Raw genomic sequence first — 15,461 nt, 5'->3', positions numbered from 1 at the left:
CCTCCAGAATATTTTCGGATGTCAATATGAGTATGAGCTGATGGGGAAATGTAGGTTCTATGAAAATAAAATATCCTTTTGAAATTCAAAATTTATTTATGTTTTTTTTTTGACAGAGTCTCACTCTGTCACCAGGGCTGGAGTGCAGTGGTGCAATCTCAGCTCACTGCAGCCTCCATCTCCCAGGCTCAAGGGATCCTCCCACCTCAGCCTCCTGAGTATTGAAGACTACAGGCATGCACCACCATGCCTGGCTAATTTTTTTAAAAAGTTTTTTGGGGTAGACATGGGGTTCTGCCATGTTGCCCAGGCTGATCTCGAACTCCTGGGCTCAAGCGATCTGCCTGCTTCGGCCTCCCAAGGTGCTGGGATTAGCGGCATGAGCCACCACCCTTGGCTTATTTATGGTCTTTAAAAAGGAAAATCATCTCACTTCAATAAAGATGAAGCTTGACAATGAAAGTCTAGGCATAACCTAGACTTACTAGCTAGTTCTTTCTTCAAATATTCAGTTTATCTTTAAGCTTATTCCATAGTAAGAGCCTATGTTTTATGGAATACTATGCAGCCATAAAAACGAATGAGTTCATGTCCTTTGCAGGGACATGGATGAAGCTGGAAGCCATCATTCTCAGCAAACTAACACAGGAACAGAAAGCCCAACACTGCATATTCTCACTCATAAGTGGGAGTTGAACAATGAGAATATATGGACACAGAGAGGGGAACATCACACACCAGGGCCTGTTGTGGGGTGGAGGGCAAGGGGAGGGAGAGCATTAGGACAAATACCTAATGCATGCGGGGCTTAAAATCTAGATGATGGTTTGATAGGTGCAGCAAACTACCATGGCACATATATATCTATGTAACAAACCTGCTTGTTCTGCACATGTATCCCAGAACTTAAAGTAAAATTAAAAAAAAAAAGAAAGAAAGAAATACCAATACCTAGATTCCTCCCCAGACAGTCTAATTTTTTTGGTCTGGGGTATGCAGGGTATGACCTGTACACCAGAATATTTTTTTTAAAGCTCCTCAGATAATTCTAACATGCAGCTAAGGTTTAGAACAATTTTTAATTACAATAAATACGTAAAAGAATAAAAATCCCACTGAAATGTTGATGGAATTTTTAAAAAGAGCCTATGTTTTAAACATTTCAATTTAAAAAAATATGACAGATCTAATTCAAAATCCCTGCTAACAGATTTCCTAGGAGAGCATCACTTCTGGAATCCTATTCTCTTGTATATTTGTTAGCGAACATTAGCCCTGACAAAGGTAAAAGAGAATACACTGGTCATTTATCACTCACAGACTGAGGAAATGCAAAAACCAGGCCAGAGGAGAAGAGCCTGAGAAGGGAAACCACACTGGCCAAGGTGCCAGAAACTTATTTTTTGCTTTAGTGACAGTTATTTGTCTTCCACTAGTGAAGGAAGGCACGATCGAGACTTTCATACGCTTTATAATAATTCGTCTCACCCTTCCCTTAGAGACTCCCTCAATATCACGTACTCATGGCTTTCTAACAGCTGAGAAATGATCTGCTTTTCAGATAACACCATCCAGTCGGTTTTCTGTTGCTGCTGTTGCTGTTCAGTGCAGAAGCGGTAAGTCTACTTCCGAGGGCAATTTCTTGAAAATTAATTAATTCCGTTTCTTTATTACCTGTGGAGTCACCATGTCTCTTTGCACCCGCTGTTCTCTCTACCTGGGAACCTTCTCCCATTTTCTCCCTGTGGAATGCCTATTTGTTTACAGGTCTAGGTCAAATGTCAGGTCATCTGGGATCCTTTCCTGATCCTTTAGATTTCATTGTTCATTCCATTGCATTCCCACCGTGTGCGGCATTGTTCTCCACTTAATTTTTATTTCATGTATGTTGTTTATAGGTCTGTGCTCCAATACGTATTTTTTCCCTTTAAGGGCAAGAATCCTATCTTAGTTATCTATCTCCCCAAAACTACCGGTGTATCTTATACTTTGGTGGCAGTAAATGACTCTGTAAGAATTAAATCCAAGGCAGCATGTTAACAGAAAAAGCTAACATTTAACAGGAGCTTCCTGTATATCAGATACTATGCTAAAAGATTTATGTTTATTAACTCATACAGTTCTCAAAACCACCTACTTTTTTTTTTTATGATCCCCATTTTACAGATGAGGAAATTGAAGATTAGAGAGGTTACATTGCTTACCCAAGGCCACACTATGAAATGGTGGAGCTGGGATTCAAACTCTTGTTCCTAATCACTATACCATGTCTATTTATAACAAAAAGACACCATCAAATGAGGTAATGCATATAAAATGACAAACACTGAGCCAGATATGGAGTAAGTTTTCATTACAATGATTATAACTTTATGCCCTGAAGATGCACCAGACTCTACTGGGAATGTGACATGTTTTCTCAATTTTATTTTATAACAACTCTATGCTCTTAGCACCTCTAGTTCCTGGAGAAGGAAACTTAAGTTCTTAAAACCAGTAATTTGCCCAGGGAGATGGAGTTAGGAAGCCTTCTAAATGAAAATGGAGTTGGAAAGAGACCTGGATTTTTCTGCTATTTCTGTGAAAATCTAGTGGATGTATAGATAACTTTTGTACAAATAATTATTTGTAACATGATTGCTTTTCAATGTCAGACAAATGAGAACACAGATAAGCCTGAGCACAGATGAAGAGCTTCCAGAAAAATACACCCAGCGTCGCAGGCCGTGGCTCAGCCAATTGTCAAATAAGAAGCAAGTAAGTATCATTTTGACAGGCAAGAGGGGAATGGAGAAGGTTGTCTTTTTAGAGTCTTCATTCATGAGGTGCTGTTTGTTGCCCAGAATCTAGTATCCTGCTTGGCATAAAATAAGTGCTCAGTAATTTGTGAAGGAATGTTCTAGAAGAAAGTAAAAGGAAAAAGAAAAGACCAGTTAAAATAGGCTACTTATATTTAAAGGCAGAACTTGAAAATGGGCAATGAGTGGGAAAAAACATATTCTGGCTTCTGTCATTTTGAGGCTGAGATTAATTTTCACTTCAGTGAGAAACAGCATTCTTAGGAAGTATGGTAAACCCAAGCACAAACTGCCACCACATAAAAAGAAAAAGGCCATTTTTCTTCTTTTAAGGAGAAAAAAAATCCTTAAAACAAGGTAAAACTATTGAAGAGGAGTACATCATCTTTTGAAAATTTTGATATGAAAAAAAATCCAGTAAAATGCTGTCAAGAGAACTTGTGATCTCAAAAGTGTACAAAATGATGAGTGTATTGCTGGATCCTAAAGGAGTTTTATAGTTAGTCCTTTTCTACATTTATCTCATCCTGGCTTCTGCCTTGGTGTAGCTGGATAAGAAAAGTGAGGCAGAAGGCAAATATGCTTTGTCCCTATATTTTTTAGTACAAATTATTAAAATGATAGTAAAACAACTCACTTATTGGTTTTCACAGTCCAACACGGGCCGTGTGCAGCCGTCAAAACGAAAGCCACTGCCTCCCCTCCCACCCTCTGAGGTTGCTGAAGAGAAGATCCAAGTCAAGGCACTTTATGATTTTCTGCCCAGAGAACCCTGTAATTTAGCCTTAAGGAGAGCAGAAGAATACCTGATACTGGAGAAATACAATCCTCACTGGTGGAAGGCAAGAGACCGTTTGGGGTAAGACACTTACATGACTTAGTCAGTATCCAATTCTTCCAACACAAAGAAGACTACTTAGTGACTCAGGCTTATAACTCTTCCCTCTGCATGAAATGGAATCTGTCCCCTCTCCCCCAGGATGTGTGAGAGAATGAGAGAACAGTGATTTCAGGCAGAGTCTCAGAACCAGATACACCTGGCTTCACATCCTGATGCTGCCGCTTACTATTGTGTGTCCCCGGGCAAGTCACTTACCGTCTCTGAGTTTTTGTTTCTTTATTTGTACAATGGAAATAATAATTCTGACAATGTAGGTTCTTATTCTAATTTGTGCTTTCATTTGGGAATTTGTCAGTTTTTTCCTGTTAAGCTCTAAGGTAAGAACAGAAATAGTATTTTATTCACTTTTATGTTTCTAGAATGACTAGTTTTGAAAGCAAACATTGCAGTCGCTGCTGAATTAGATTAGAAAGAAAAAAGACCCTGGGATGCAGATAGGTTTCATTGTGCCAATTGCAACAGATGGTTAATGCCTGACTGGAGTCCTGAGTTGAGAAGAATTCTGAGGAATATCTGGACTTCCTGAGAGAGAAGGCTGGCATTGATTTCTGATATTTGCCAAGATTTGGAGATTTTAAGTATCTAAGTATTATAAGCATGTAAATTACATACCTCTCCAACTACATTTTCTCAATGATGTGGCTCTCTTAACAGTTCTCAACATGTGGTGGAGACTTTTCAGTGGAAAAAGAGGCATTAGTAGGTTCAGGACTGTGTAATTAGCCACACCTGCGGGTATACTATTGGCATGCCTCAGACTTAAAAATTGAATTTTTTATTTCACAGTAAGTGAATAGAGTTTTTAAAAATATATAATATGCAAACATTAATGTCAAAATTCTGCTTTGCCACTACCTCCAAACCCAAGTGTCTCCCCAAAAGTAAATACTATTATCCATTTTCAGATTATTTTCAGTATACTTACATGCACATATCAAAATATATGGTATTGTTTGTAGAATTCATTTACCTAAATCTTATCTTACTTTCTGCATGATTCTGCAACTTACTTTTATTTCTCAATAATATGTCTTGGAGATCTTTTTGTAATTTCAAATGTTGGTTAAGGTATAGGAAAAGTGAAACTTCTACCATGCTGATAGGTGTGTAAGTTGGTATATCCTCCTTTGAGGACAATTTGTTGCATATCCTGAAAGATGTACATATCCCGTGACTTAGCAATTCCCGTCTTTGCTATCTGTCTTTGAGAAATATTCTTCTGTACAAGAAGGCGTGTTCAAGGATTTCTTTACAGCGTTGCTTCTACTAGCAAAGTAGCTAAACTAGAATACCTATGCTATGGAATACTCCTCAGCAATTGAAAAGAATGAAGTCGATGTCTTTGTAATTGCTGTGTTTTTAACATAATCACTATGATATCAGATGATCATTTAAGTGCCCCTTTTTCTCTCTGAAAAGATTGTGGGGTCATAAAACCTCTTAAACTACTCACATTACAAGTTGGCATCTTAATACATTCCTTGTACAGAGATTTTTGTTGAGTTAGAAATAAAAAAACTTTTTTTTCTCCTTTTAACAATTTAATCAGTAAAATGAATTTGATTTCCCCCCTACATCCTTGAGGTTTTAAAAGGATTGTTGCCATGATAATGCCACAAACATGCCAAGCATTTTGATTTTTGCTTTTTCTTTTGTTGTAGGAATGAAGGCTTAATCCCAAGCAACTATGTGACTGAAAACAAAATAACTAATTTAGAAATATATGAGTAAGTCTTCTCCAAAATATAACCTATGAAAATCAGGGACATTTTGGCAGCTTGTAAGTATAGATACTGTTTTGGGTCTGTAGAAGGAAAAAAAAGTAACACATTTGACAGCGTTAATAATAAAGAGACGTTTGATCCTTATCATGGTTGATTCAGAAACTTCTTTTCCTTATACTTATTTTTGTTCTGTTTTGTATAGCCACTTTTTCTGTTTTAACAGTGACAGCCTGAACCCAAACACTCATCTGGCACTTATTTTACTATATATCTTAACTGGAAAATTTACTTTAAAAAATGACATTAAATTTTCAATGAGTGGTAAACTTAACCATATAGATAAAGTACTATATTTTGGCTTATGTTTTTATATGTTTTAGAAATAGCTGACGATAAGAACTAGGCTAATGCTGTAGTTTGGAAGAACTGTTTGGCATGTTCACTAGAGTTCCGCCTGAAATCTATTTTTGTTACAATTACAGATTTGGAAGATGGAGGAAATCTTAGCAATCACTTTTTTAGCCCCTCATTTTGCAGATGAGAAGACTGATAGATTACAGGTAGAGAACGGCCTGAGACTAGTCATATGTTTTTTATAAATTTAGATTTTCAGTTTGAGCATCTCCCCCTACCTTCATCCCACTTGGGCACTTATCTTAAAATTAGCATATGCTTCCACCAGGTGGCAGTAGGTAATATGCATTGAGGCATTAAGACAAGTGCTTCTCTGAGAACCAGGCAGCAAATACAATTGAATGAGAGAACCTCCTTGGTTGGTCTTGCTACTAATAAAGCCCACCTGGAGGCCTAACTCAGTACATCTCTCCTAAAACAAATTCGAATTCAAAAGCTTTGGTGGATAATGTAGACTTTATTGGAGGAGAGAAGGAGATGACTTCAGGACACATGACTCATCTACATTACTCTATGAGATTTCTCCAGTAGCTATTTCTGTTCTCTCTCCAGTCACTCTCCTCAGCTCCATCATAGGATCTCTTCTCTCTTTTCCCACCTTCACTTGGCCTCCTGTCTCTATTGGAGCCATTTAGCCCTTCCCGAGATTCTAATCTCCAGTAAATCAAAGTTCTCAGGTGACTGAACCCACCTTCCTTAGAAAACAGTTCCAAAGTGCTCACTTCGGCAGAGCATATACTAAAATTGGAATGATACAGAGAAGATTAGCATGGCAATTTTTAAAAATTGAAAACAAAAGAGGCCAGGCATGGTGGTTCATGCCTGTAACCGTAGCACTTTGGGAGACTGAGGTGGGAGAATTGCTTGAGCTCAGGAGTTCAAGACCATCCTGGGCAACATGGTGAGACCCTATCTCTATAAAAAAAGGACAGAAAAAAAAAAAAAGCAGTTCCACAGCTATCTACTCAAGAGCATGTCCTCATGAGGTCTCACTGCTATCCTGAGCTGAAGCTGACCAACAAAAACAGGCCTCTTGCAAAGCCAGGTCAGAGATTTTGTATGTATTTACAGATATTATATGAAAATCTCTTGCTCAGAAAAATTAGAAAAATGAGACTTTTTTTCATATAATTTGGATTTTACAAGCGATTAAAGGAGACATTTGTGAAAGTAGCTAACACAGTGCCTGGTGGTTAGTGAATGGACACTCACTACCTAGGAATGTTACTTTCCACCCTTTCATTATTCATTAATTTGCTCATTGATTACCCTGTTTAGACAAGGCCTAGGCTCTGGCTATAACAGCCTGTTTATACTGTGGATGTTGGATCATCTGAATTAAACTACTCTGGGGCTACAACTGCTACCTCATTTCCTTGGGCCTTGATTTATATATGTGTTTTTTTAAAAAATCATCCTTTTTAAAATGACTCCAATTATGAGAAAACTCATTTTTCATTTTATTGCTGTTTTTAAAAACAGCTTTATTAATATGTAGATAAAATAGCTATCATTATTGATCACTGAAATTTATTGATCACTATGTGCCAAGCACTGTTCTAATGACTGTACGAAAGTTACTGCCCTAGGTTGAAGTACTAGAGCATGTGTATAGAAATGGGAACAACCTGGGTCCAAATCCTGGCATCAGCACTGACTAGTGCTTTGGTTCTGGGCAGAGTTACCTAATGTCTCTAAACTTCTGAATGATCTGAAAAGCAGAGAAAATAGTATCTATTCTATCTGTTACATAATACATGTTCAATACATTCTAGTGATTATTATTATTTCATGAACTATGAAACTAACAGGAAAAACATTTACAGTTTGGGCTACCATGCCTGGTATTTACAGGCATTCAACACTCCTTCGTTACTTCAGTCCTCAAATCACCTTATTTGTTCCATCTGTATTTATTGTACACTTACGATGTACCAGATATAACAACCTGAAATATACAGTTATGGAACTTACAGTTCTTGGGGAAAAACAGACATTAAACAACCCTAAGTCCACAAATAAATGTACAATTTTATTTATTTATTTATTTATTTTTGAGACAGAGTCTCGCTCTGTCACCCAGGCTGGAGTGCAGTGTCGTGATCTCGGCTCACTGCAAGCTCTGCCTCCTGGGTTCACGCCATTCTCCTGCCTCAGCCTCCTGAGTAGCTGGGACTACAGGCGCCCGCCACCACGCCCGGTTTTTTTTTTTTTTTTTTTTTTTTTTAAGTAGAGACAGAGTTTCACGGTGTTAGCCAGGATGGTCTCAATCTCCTAACCCCGTGATCCGCCCGCCTCTACCTCCCAAAGTGCTGGGATTACAGGCGTGAGCCACCGCGCCCGGCCCATAAATGTACAATTTTAAATCGTAGTGTTATGATACACTGGAGCCTGGGGCGGGGGTTGGGGCGAGGGCGGCAAGGGGAGGGAGAGCATCAGGAAGAAGAGCTAATGGATGCTGGGCTTAATCCTAGGCGATGAGTTGATCTGTGCAGCAAACCACTGTGGCACACATCTACCTATGTAACAAACCTGAATATCCTGTACATGTACCCCGGAACTTAAAATAAAAGTTGAAGAAAAAAAATAAAATAAACTGTAGTGTTTTGAAGGAACAGTATTGGACGCTGTGGAAGAAAACAGGGCAGGGGATGTAATTCAGATGGGGGATGTTGGGTTGGCTCTGAGGAAGTGACTTGAGGTCTAAAGGTGGTAGCAGGTAGTGTGTGTTTTGGGGGGAGGGTGGGGTATGGTGGAAGGAATGCTGTGTCAATGTGGAGTTCTGATATTTCAGAGGAACCTTTGTGCATAGAAAGATTTATGGCTACTTTAAATGAATATCCGAATTATCAATATTACAATGGAAAAACCTAGTTTTCAGAAAGTCCTCAAATTCAACTTATAAAATTTGGTATACTATATATAAATCTAAAGAAGTAAGAACAATCAGCTTAATTCAAACTCAACATACTAGATATCCTTAAACAATCAGTCCTATTTATAAGCTCAGTTAATTAAATTTTTGGAAACTTTTAATTTGCATTAATAAACTGAATAAATTCAGTTTTCTTCCAAAGTACTTCACATGCCTGACAGGGCAAATTTACAATTGTAATAAGCCCTATGCAAGTCTTTAAATGATCCTGGAAATCTAATAAACTAAACTTATAAATGTGGGAAATCAAGTTCTTTTAACTGTACAAATATCATTTTAAAAACAAGTCAAATTATCTTCAACTTCGGATAACAAGTTTAAAATTAATTATGCCTTTTAAATCAGAGGCAAATATCTAATATGCCAGATTCTCTTAAAATAATAGATATTTTAAATACCAAACATATTGATTATTCCTGAACTTTACAGAAGCATGAGTTTCATTTATCTCATTATCTGTACACGGAATCCTTAATCTTCTCACAGTTAGAAAGTCATTTACTAAGAGAAGCAGATTTACATTCTCAGATCTAATGGGGTTTCTAGATCAAAAATTCAAGAACACAATACTGTTTACTTATAGAAATCTAAGATTGGGACATGAGACCAGAGGTGTTCACATAACATACAGGATGTTTCTACTCACCCATAGCTGGACGTGCTGGATTTAAAAAAAAATGTTCATAGGATTCCTGTCCCTAACTCCTTCATACACATCATTTGGTCTTAGTTGTAATCAATGTTGTCTAGGTCTAAGAGTTGTCTAAGAGTTACAGTTTTACTTACATATTAAAAAAAAAAAACCCTTCTAACTTTTATAATCTGATTTAAATAGATGAAATTCTGAAATACTGTGCTCTTGCCTCCTCTAAGTTCCATTCGTTCAATCTCTTTCCTGCCTGATAGAATTCTGAATTATTTTAAAAGATCTTGAATTTGTCACATACTTCTATCTGGCAATATTAGATTAAGTTTAAAACCTTCTTAAAAATCTTGTTTTTGAGTGCTTGCTTCGGCAGCACATATACTAAAAATTGGAACAATACAGAGAAGATTAGCATGTTCCCTGTGCAAGGATGACACACAAATTCATGAAGCATTAAAATTTTTTTAAAGTCTTGTTTTGAAATGAAAGCCTTTCAGTTTTCCTTTCTCTCTCTTTTGTTCTACCATTTTTTCTTTCTCCTTCCTGTACAACATTTGCTTACTGACTAGGTATTACCATATCAAACTGTATGTTTAGCTTACAGTATTAGTTAATTATGTTTACTGTGTGTACTTCTGATATTCTAAAGTCATTTAACTACATGTTTCATGCAGAGAAAAACAGCATGATTGGGGGCAGAAAAGGGGTTGGTGAATCTGAGGAAGGAAATAATTCCAATGAGACTGAAGCTTAGTGAGTGAGGGGAGACTCAGGAGAGAGATGAGGCGGGAGAGGGTGTTAGAGGCAAGTTCATGTATTGGTTGTTCCATGTATTCTGTTTTTTGATTTTTTAAAAATTTTATATTAGATCTAGAGGGTACACATGCAAGTTTTTTTTTATCAACAGTATATTGTGTAATGGTGGGTATTGGGTTTCTGGTGTACCCATCACCCAAATAGTGAACATTTTATCCAATAAGTCATTTTCCAACTCTCACCCCCACTTCCATCCTCCCTGCTTTGGGAGTTCCCAGTGTCCATTATTTCCATCTCTATGGCTATGTGTTCCCCCTGTTATCTCCCACTTGTAAGTGAGAACATCTACTAACTACTGACTATACTATGACGTAATATACTTAGGAGTGTCAGAAAAGTAAGAATGGGCTTTAATTTTTGGAAGGGGTAACAAAGCACCTATAAAAACATGTAAATAGGAAGTTTCTGAGAGGAAAGACAGAAATGAGTATTTTTTCAGTTTGTCTGCCAAAACTCAGTGTTTGTTCAAGATGATTTACCACATACCTTTCATGGAAATTTATAAGAAGTTAAATCATTCATAATGATATACTAAGTGTATATTGGAAGCTGAATTGAGATATGATAGAATAAACTAGATATTGATTTGAAAATAAAATTATTTTAAACTTAATTAACCCACAATAGTATATTATTGTTTATCTGAATTTAAAAAAACACTCAACTTTCTAAGCTCAGTTCTGAAGTAAGTTCTTAAAAATGAAGAAAATGAAGCACTTTTTTCTTAAAAAAATTGAATATAAAATTTAAAAATCATTTTTATTGCTTTTACAGGTGGTACCATAGAAACATTACCAGAAATCAGGCAGAACATCTATTGAGACAAGAGGTAATTCAATGTATTTGTGGACATTTTCAAAATCTCTGAGAAGTACTTATAAAGACTTTAACCAACTAAAAAAGTATATTATTTCTTGTCTTTTCTAGTTCTAAAATATCATTACATCCCAACTATATATTTTATGTGAAGTTGTAAATCAGATATATTTGTATTAGATCATGTTTTCCATCAACTTTCATTATAATTTCAGAAATACGTTTCTCCTGAAAGGCTTTCAGCTCCAACATAGGCAGACTCCTGCATTCACTCCAAGGTGCATTCTGCCAATGGACTCTCTCTCTCTCTCTCTCTCTATATATATATATAATATATATATTATATATATATATTATATATTATATATATAAAATATATATAATATATAATATTATATATTATATATATAATATATAATATTATATATTATATATATAATATATAATATTATATATTATATATATTATATATAATATTATATATTATATATATTATATATAATATTATATATTATATATATTATATATAATATTATATATTATATATATTATATATTATATTATATATTATATATATTATATATTATATTATATATTATATATATTATATATTATATTATATATTATATATATTATATATTATATTATATATTATATATATAAAATATATATTATATATAATATAATATATAATATATATATATATATTTTGAGACATGCTCTCGCTCTGTCACCCAGGCTGAAGTGCAGTGGCTCGATCACAGCTGACTGAAGTCTTGACCTCCTGGGCTTAAAGCTATCCTCCCACCTCAGCCCTCTGAGTAGCTGGGACTACAGGTATGCCACCATGCCTGGCTAGTTTCTTTGTATTTTTTATAGAGACAGGGTTTTGCCATGCTGCCCAACTGGTCTTGAACTACTGAGCTCAAGTGATCAGCCCGGCTTGGCCTCCCAAAGTGCTGAGATTACAGGTGTGAGCCACCACGCCCAGTCTGGAGTCCTGTATTTGAGTTGCTCATTATAACCTTTGCATCAAAGGCAGTCAAGTATAAACTTGATCCTCAGGAACTTAGGTTAGACTCATTAAAAACACAAACAAAGAAAAATACATGCTGCTGCAGTTTCTTTGTTCTTTGGAAACAAAGGAAAGAGTAGAATAGCCAAAATATGAAACTGAGATCAAAACTGCTCATTTAGGTCAAACCAACACAAAGCTGCCTATAGTTTAAATTTCCAACTGTCAGTAAACATTAACTGTGGGTAAAAGTAGAGTCAGAACTAGAAACTAGGTAAGAGTATGTGTGTCATTTTGCTCTGCTGTTGGATATTGAGGAAATCTAGAAATGCGAATGAGAAATAATCAGTTCTGTAACTCAAAACTCAATGCCAGTAATGGCTCAGGGTACAATGAAGACCTACTTCATAGCAGGGGCTATAGGCAGAGAATGAGGGACACAGGCCCATCCTCAGGTGACCACGGATGGAGGTTGGACAGGCCTCACTTGCTTGGAGGAAACTGAGTGTGGCAGAAAATATGCTATTTTCCTGGTATGGTCACAGCAAATGGCCTTTTGTAAGGTGACATTAATAGGTCCAACACGGAGAAAAAAAATTTTATGACAGGTGGGCAGAACGAGAGAAGGAAAGTCCCAGAGGAGGTCCACAGTTATCACACTGGTCACAGGTAATATGGCCCAAATCACTGGGCTGTGCAGATTCAGTATAAGAGCTTCTGCATCTGACAAGAAGCCAGACAAGGCAAGGGTCTTATCTCTTTTCAGAGACTTGAACAGGGAATTATACGCACAGGCCCGCAACCCAGATATGGCAAATATTAAAACTTGGCCATGACATTTTAAAAATAAATAAAACATTACAGATACAGTTGAAGCCCACCCCCTTCATCTTTTTGGTCCTCTCTCATTCCCTAGAGGCAATCGCGGTAGAAGGGTATGTTCCTGTTTTGTCCATGTGTTTGTATTTTGATCATATATGCAGGCACATAAACAACCTATAACATTATTTTATTTATTTTACCATTTGACAGAAAGGAGATCATATGTATGTTGATTTTTTAGTTAAACATTATGTTTTCAAAGTACCGTTATGGGTACATATACTATAGATCAAATACATTCCTTTAACTGTGTATTAGCATATTTCATATGACTATATAAAATTGTATTCAATGTGGATAAACATTCAAAATGTTTCTGATTTGTTACTGTTACAAACAGTGCTGCAATGAATTTTCTTATAAATGTCATCTTGTACACAAGGGCGAGATGGAATTATGTGGTCACAGGGTATGTGCAGATTTAACATTATTAGATATTTTCAAAACATGATTCAAAACGGTTATACTAATTTACGCTCTTGTGGTGAATGAGATAAACTGGTTTCCAACATTCTTGCCAGCAGGTGGCAAGTAGTTTCACAGTTTTTTTTCAATTCATTGGGTGAGAAATTGTATACCTTCTCAAACATTTTCTTGATTACCAGTGCAACTGAGTTACTTTTGAAGTGTCTGTAGGCCAGTTGAGCTTACTCTTCAGTGACATGCCTGTCAATATTTTTTGTCCATTTTTCTATAGTGCTTGCCTTTTAAACTTGTAAGTCTATATTTAAAAAATACAGCTGGGGGTGGTGGCTTAAGCCTGTAATCCCAGCACTTCGGGAGGCCGAGGCGGGTGGATCACTTGAGGTCAGGAGTTTGAGACCAGACTGGCCAACATGATGAAACCCCGTCTCTCCTGAAAATACAAAAATTAGCCAGGCATGGTGGCGGGCGCCTCTAATCCCAGCTACTCAGGAGGCTGAGGCAGGAGAATCGCTTGAACCTGGGAGGTGGAGATTGCAGTGAGCCAAGATCATGCCACTGCACTCCAGCCTGGGTGACAGAGCGAGACTCCATCTCAAAAAAATAAATTAAAAAAATAAAAAATAAAAAAAGTAATATTTTGAATACCGATCTTTTCTGTCAGTTATATGTTGTAAATATATTCTGGTTTCTGGCTTTTAGGAGAACTTTATATTGTTTTCTTGCATAGAATTTAAAAAGGTTAATGTGGTCACATTTCTCAAATTTTCCTTTATTATCTGTGCTTTTTTTTTTTCTTAGTATAAGAAATTTTTCTTCCTCTTGAAGTAGTTAATGGATTTCTATCCTCTTTTAAATGTATTAAGGATTTGCTTTCCACATCTGGGTCTTTATCAGAAATGAGTGTGTATGTGTATATAAAGCATGGGATATTTAAAATATACATATTTTTTCTATGTATCTTAAAAATGTTTTTCTAATTTATATATTTTCTAATTTTTATTTTAAAAATACACCTGGATTAAATCCTACTTGTCATAAGGCATTTAAAATACATATTCTGGTTTGGGTTTCCTTATATTTTATTCAGCATTTATCCTGTTGTGTTCAAAAGGGACCCTGGCTTATAATTTTCTGTTCTCTTTGGTTTTAGTATAAAGGTTACATTAACATCATAAAATGAGTTAAGGGATGGGGCTTTGTCTGTCTTTCCAATCTCTGGAATAGTTTATATTGGTTGGTTAGCTACTATAACTGTCTTGTAACAGTCCAGATATGCTGCTTTTGCAAACAGGTAGATACATGACTACTGATTGAATTTCCTTTTCTTTTTGAAATGTTTGATAATTTATATTTACCTAGAGAATTGCCTATTTTAAATTTATTTTCAAATTTATTGCACAAACAATTCATGGCAATATCCTATAATTTTTATTTATTTCATATTTCAATAGTGAGTATGTTCACGTGGTTCAAAATCGAAAGATTTTGGAAAGTTTTCTTCCATCTTGTCTGCAAGCCACCAATTTCCCTACCCACAGAAAAACTACTATTAGTTTATTTTGTGTCCTTTCCAAGATATTTAATACATACACAAGTAAGTTCAAATATATTTTCTTGTTGTTACTTTTACACAAACGATAGCATACTATATACATTTTTATATATATATTTTTTTACATAAGGATATATATTTAGAATCTTTCCACATCAGTACACAAAACATGTCCTCCTTCATTTTATACCTGCATAGTGTTCTTTAGTTTGAGTATATCACAATTTTTAAAACCAATTCTTCATTATGAAAATTAAATAGTATACATTTCTTTTGCTGTTGAAACAATGCTACCATCCATAACCTATACACATATCTTTTCCCATTTATATGGGTTTGTAGGATAAATCCTCAAAGGTGCAAATTCTGGGTCAAATGAAATATACATTTCTAATTTTAACAGGTATTGAAATGTCCTCAGTAGGAGTTGTATCAATTTATATGCCTACCAGAAATGTAAGCGAGTCTGTTTTCCCATAACCTTTTCAGACAGCACTTTATAGAAAACATCTGGATCTTTGCTCTCTGACACCTCA

General features: G+C 35.7%; 1 protein-coding gene and 2 pseudogenes across 8 annotated transcripts in view, besides 1 other annotated feature; all 3 read left to right on the top strand.

Moving 5' to 3' along the window:
- The window catches only part of TXK (TXK tyrosine kinase), a 67,858-nt gene that overhangs the window by 18,287 nt on the left and 34,110 nt on the right, over nt 1–15,461 (top strand). For 3 of the 8 annotated variants that reach the window (XR_007057955.1, XM_047416122.1, XM_047416125.1), the window contains exons 1-5: nt 1,624–2,302; nt 2,655–2,757; nt 3,452–3,657; nt 5,361–5,426; nt 11,009–11,063. Coding sequence is in view for 7 of the 8 variants with exons in the window: in XM_047416122.1 (XP_047272078.1) it covers nt 2,223–2,302; nt 2,655–2,757; nt 3,452–3,657; nt 5,361–5,426; nt 11,009–11,063 (510 nt within the window). In the remaining variant the exon portion in view is untranslated. The other 5 variants (NM_003328.3, XM_024454200.2, XM_017008581.3 and 2 more) reach the window with 5 other exon arrangements.
- Nucleotides 2,669–3,868: an enhancer, noted in NCBI's record as "BRD4-independent group 4 enhancer chr4:48114113-48115312 (GRCh37/hg19 assembly coordinates)". NCBI's record gives its function as "activates an origin of replication core promoter dependent on BRD2, P300/CBP, MED14 and CDK7 cofactors, and independent of BRD4, by STARR-seq in HCT116 cells {active_cell/tissue: HCT116}" and the evidence as "EXISTENCE:reporter gene assay evidence [ECO:0000049][PMID:35650434]".
- Nucleotides 6,554–6,611, top strand: LOC124900886 (uncharacterized; annotated as a pseudogene).
- Nucleotides 9,776–9,883, top strand: RNU6-838P (RNA, U6 small nuclear 838, pseudogene; annotated as a pseudogene).

Source organism: Homo sapiens, chromosome 4 (assembly GCF_000001405.40).
Source record: "Homo sapiens chromosome 4, GRCh38.p14 Primary Assembly".
NCBI classification, from domain to species: Eukaryota; Metazoa; Chordata; class Mammalia; order Primates; family Hominidae; genus Homo; species Homo sapiens.
The sequence above is the reverse complement of the archived record's forward strand: the minus strand, read 5'-3'. Positions and strand labels throughout refer to the sequence as shown.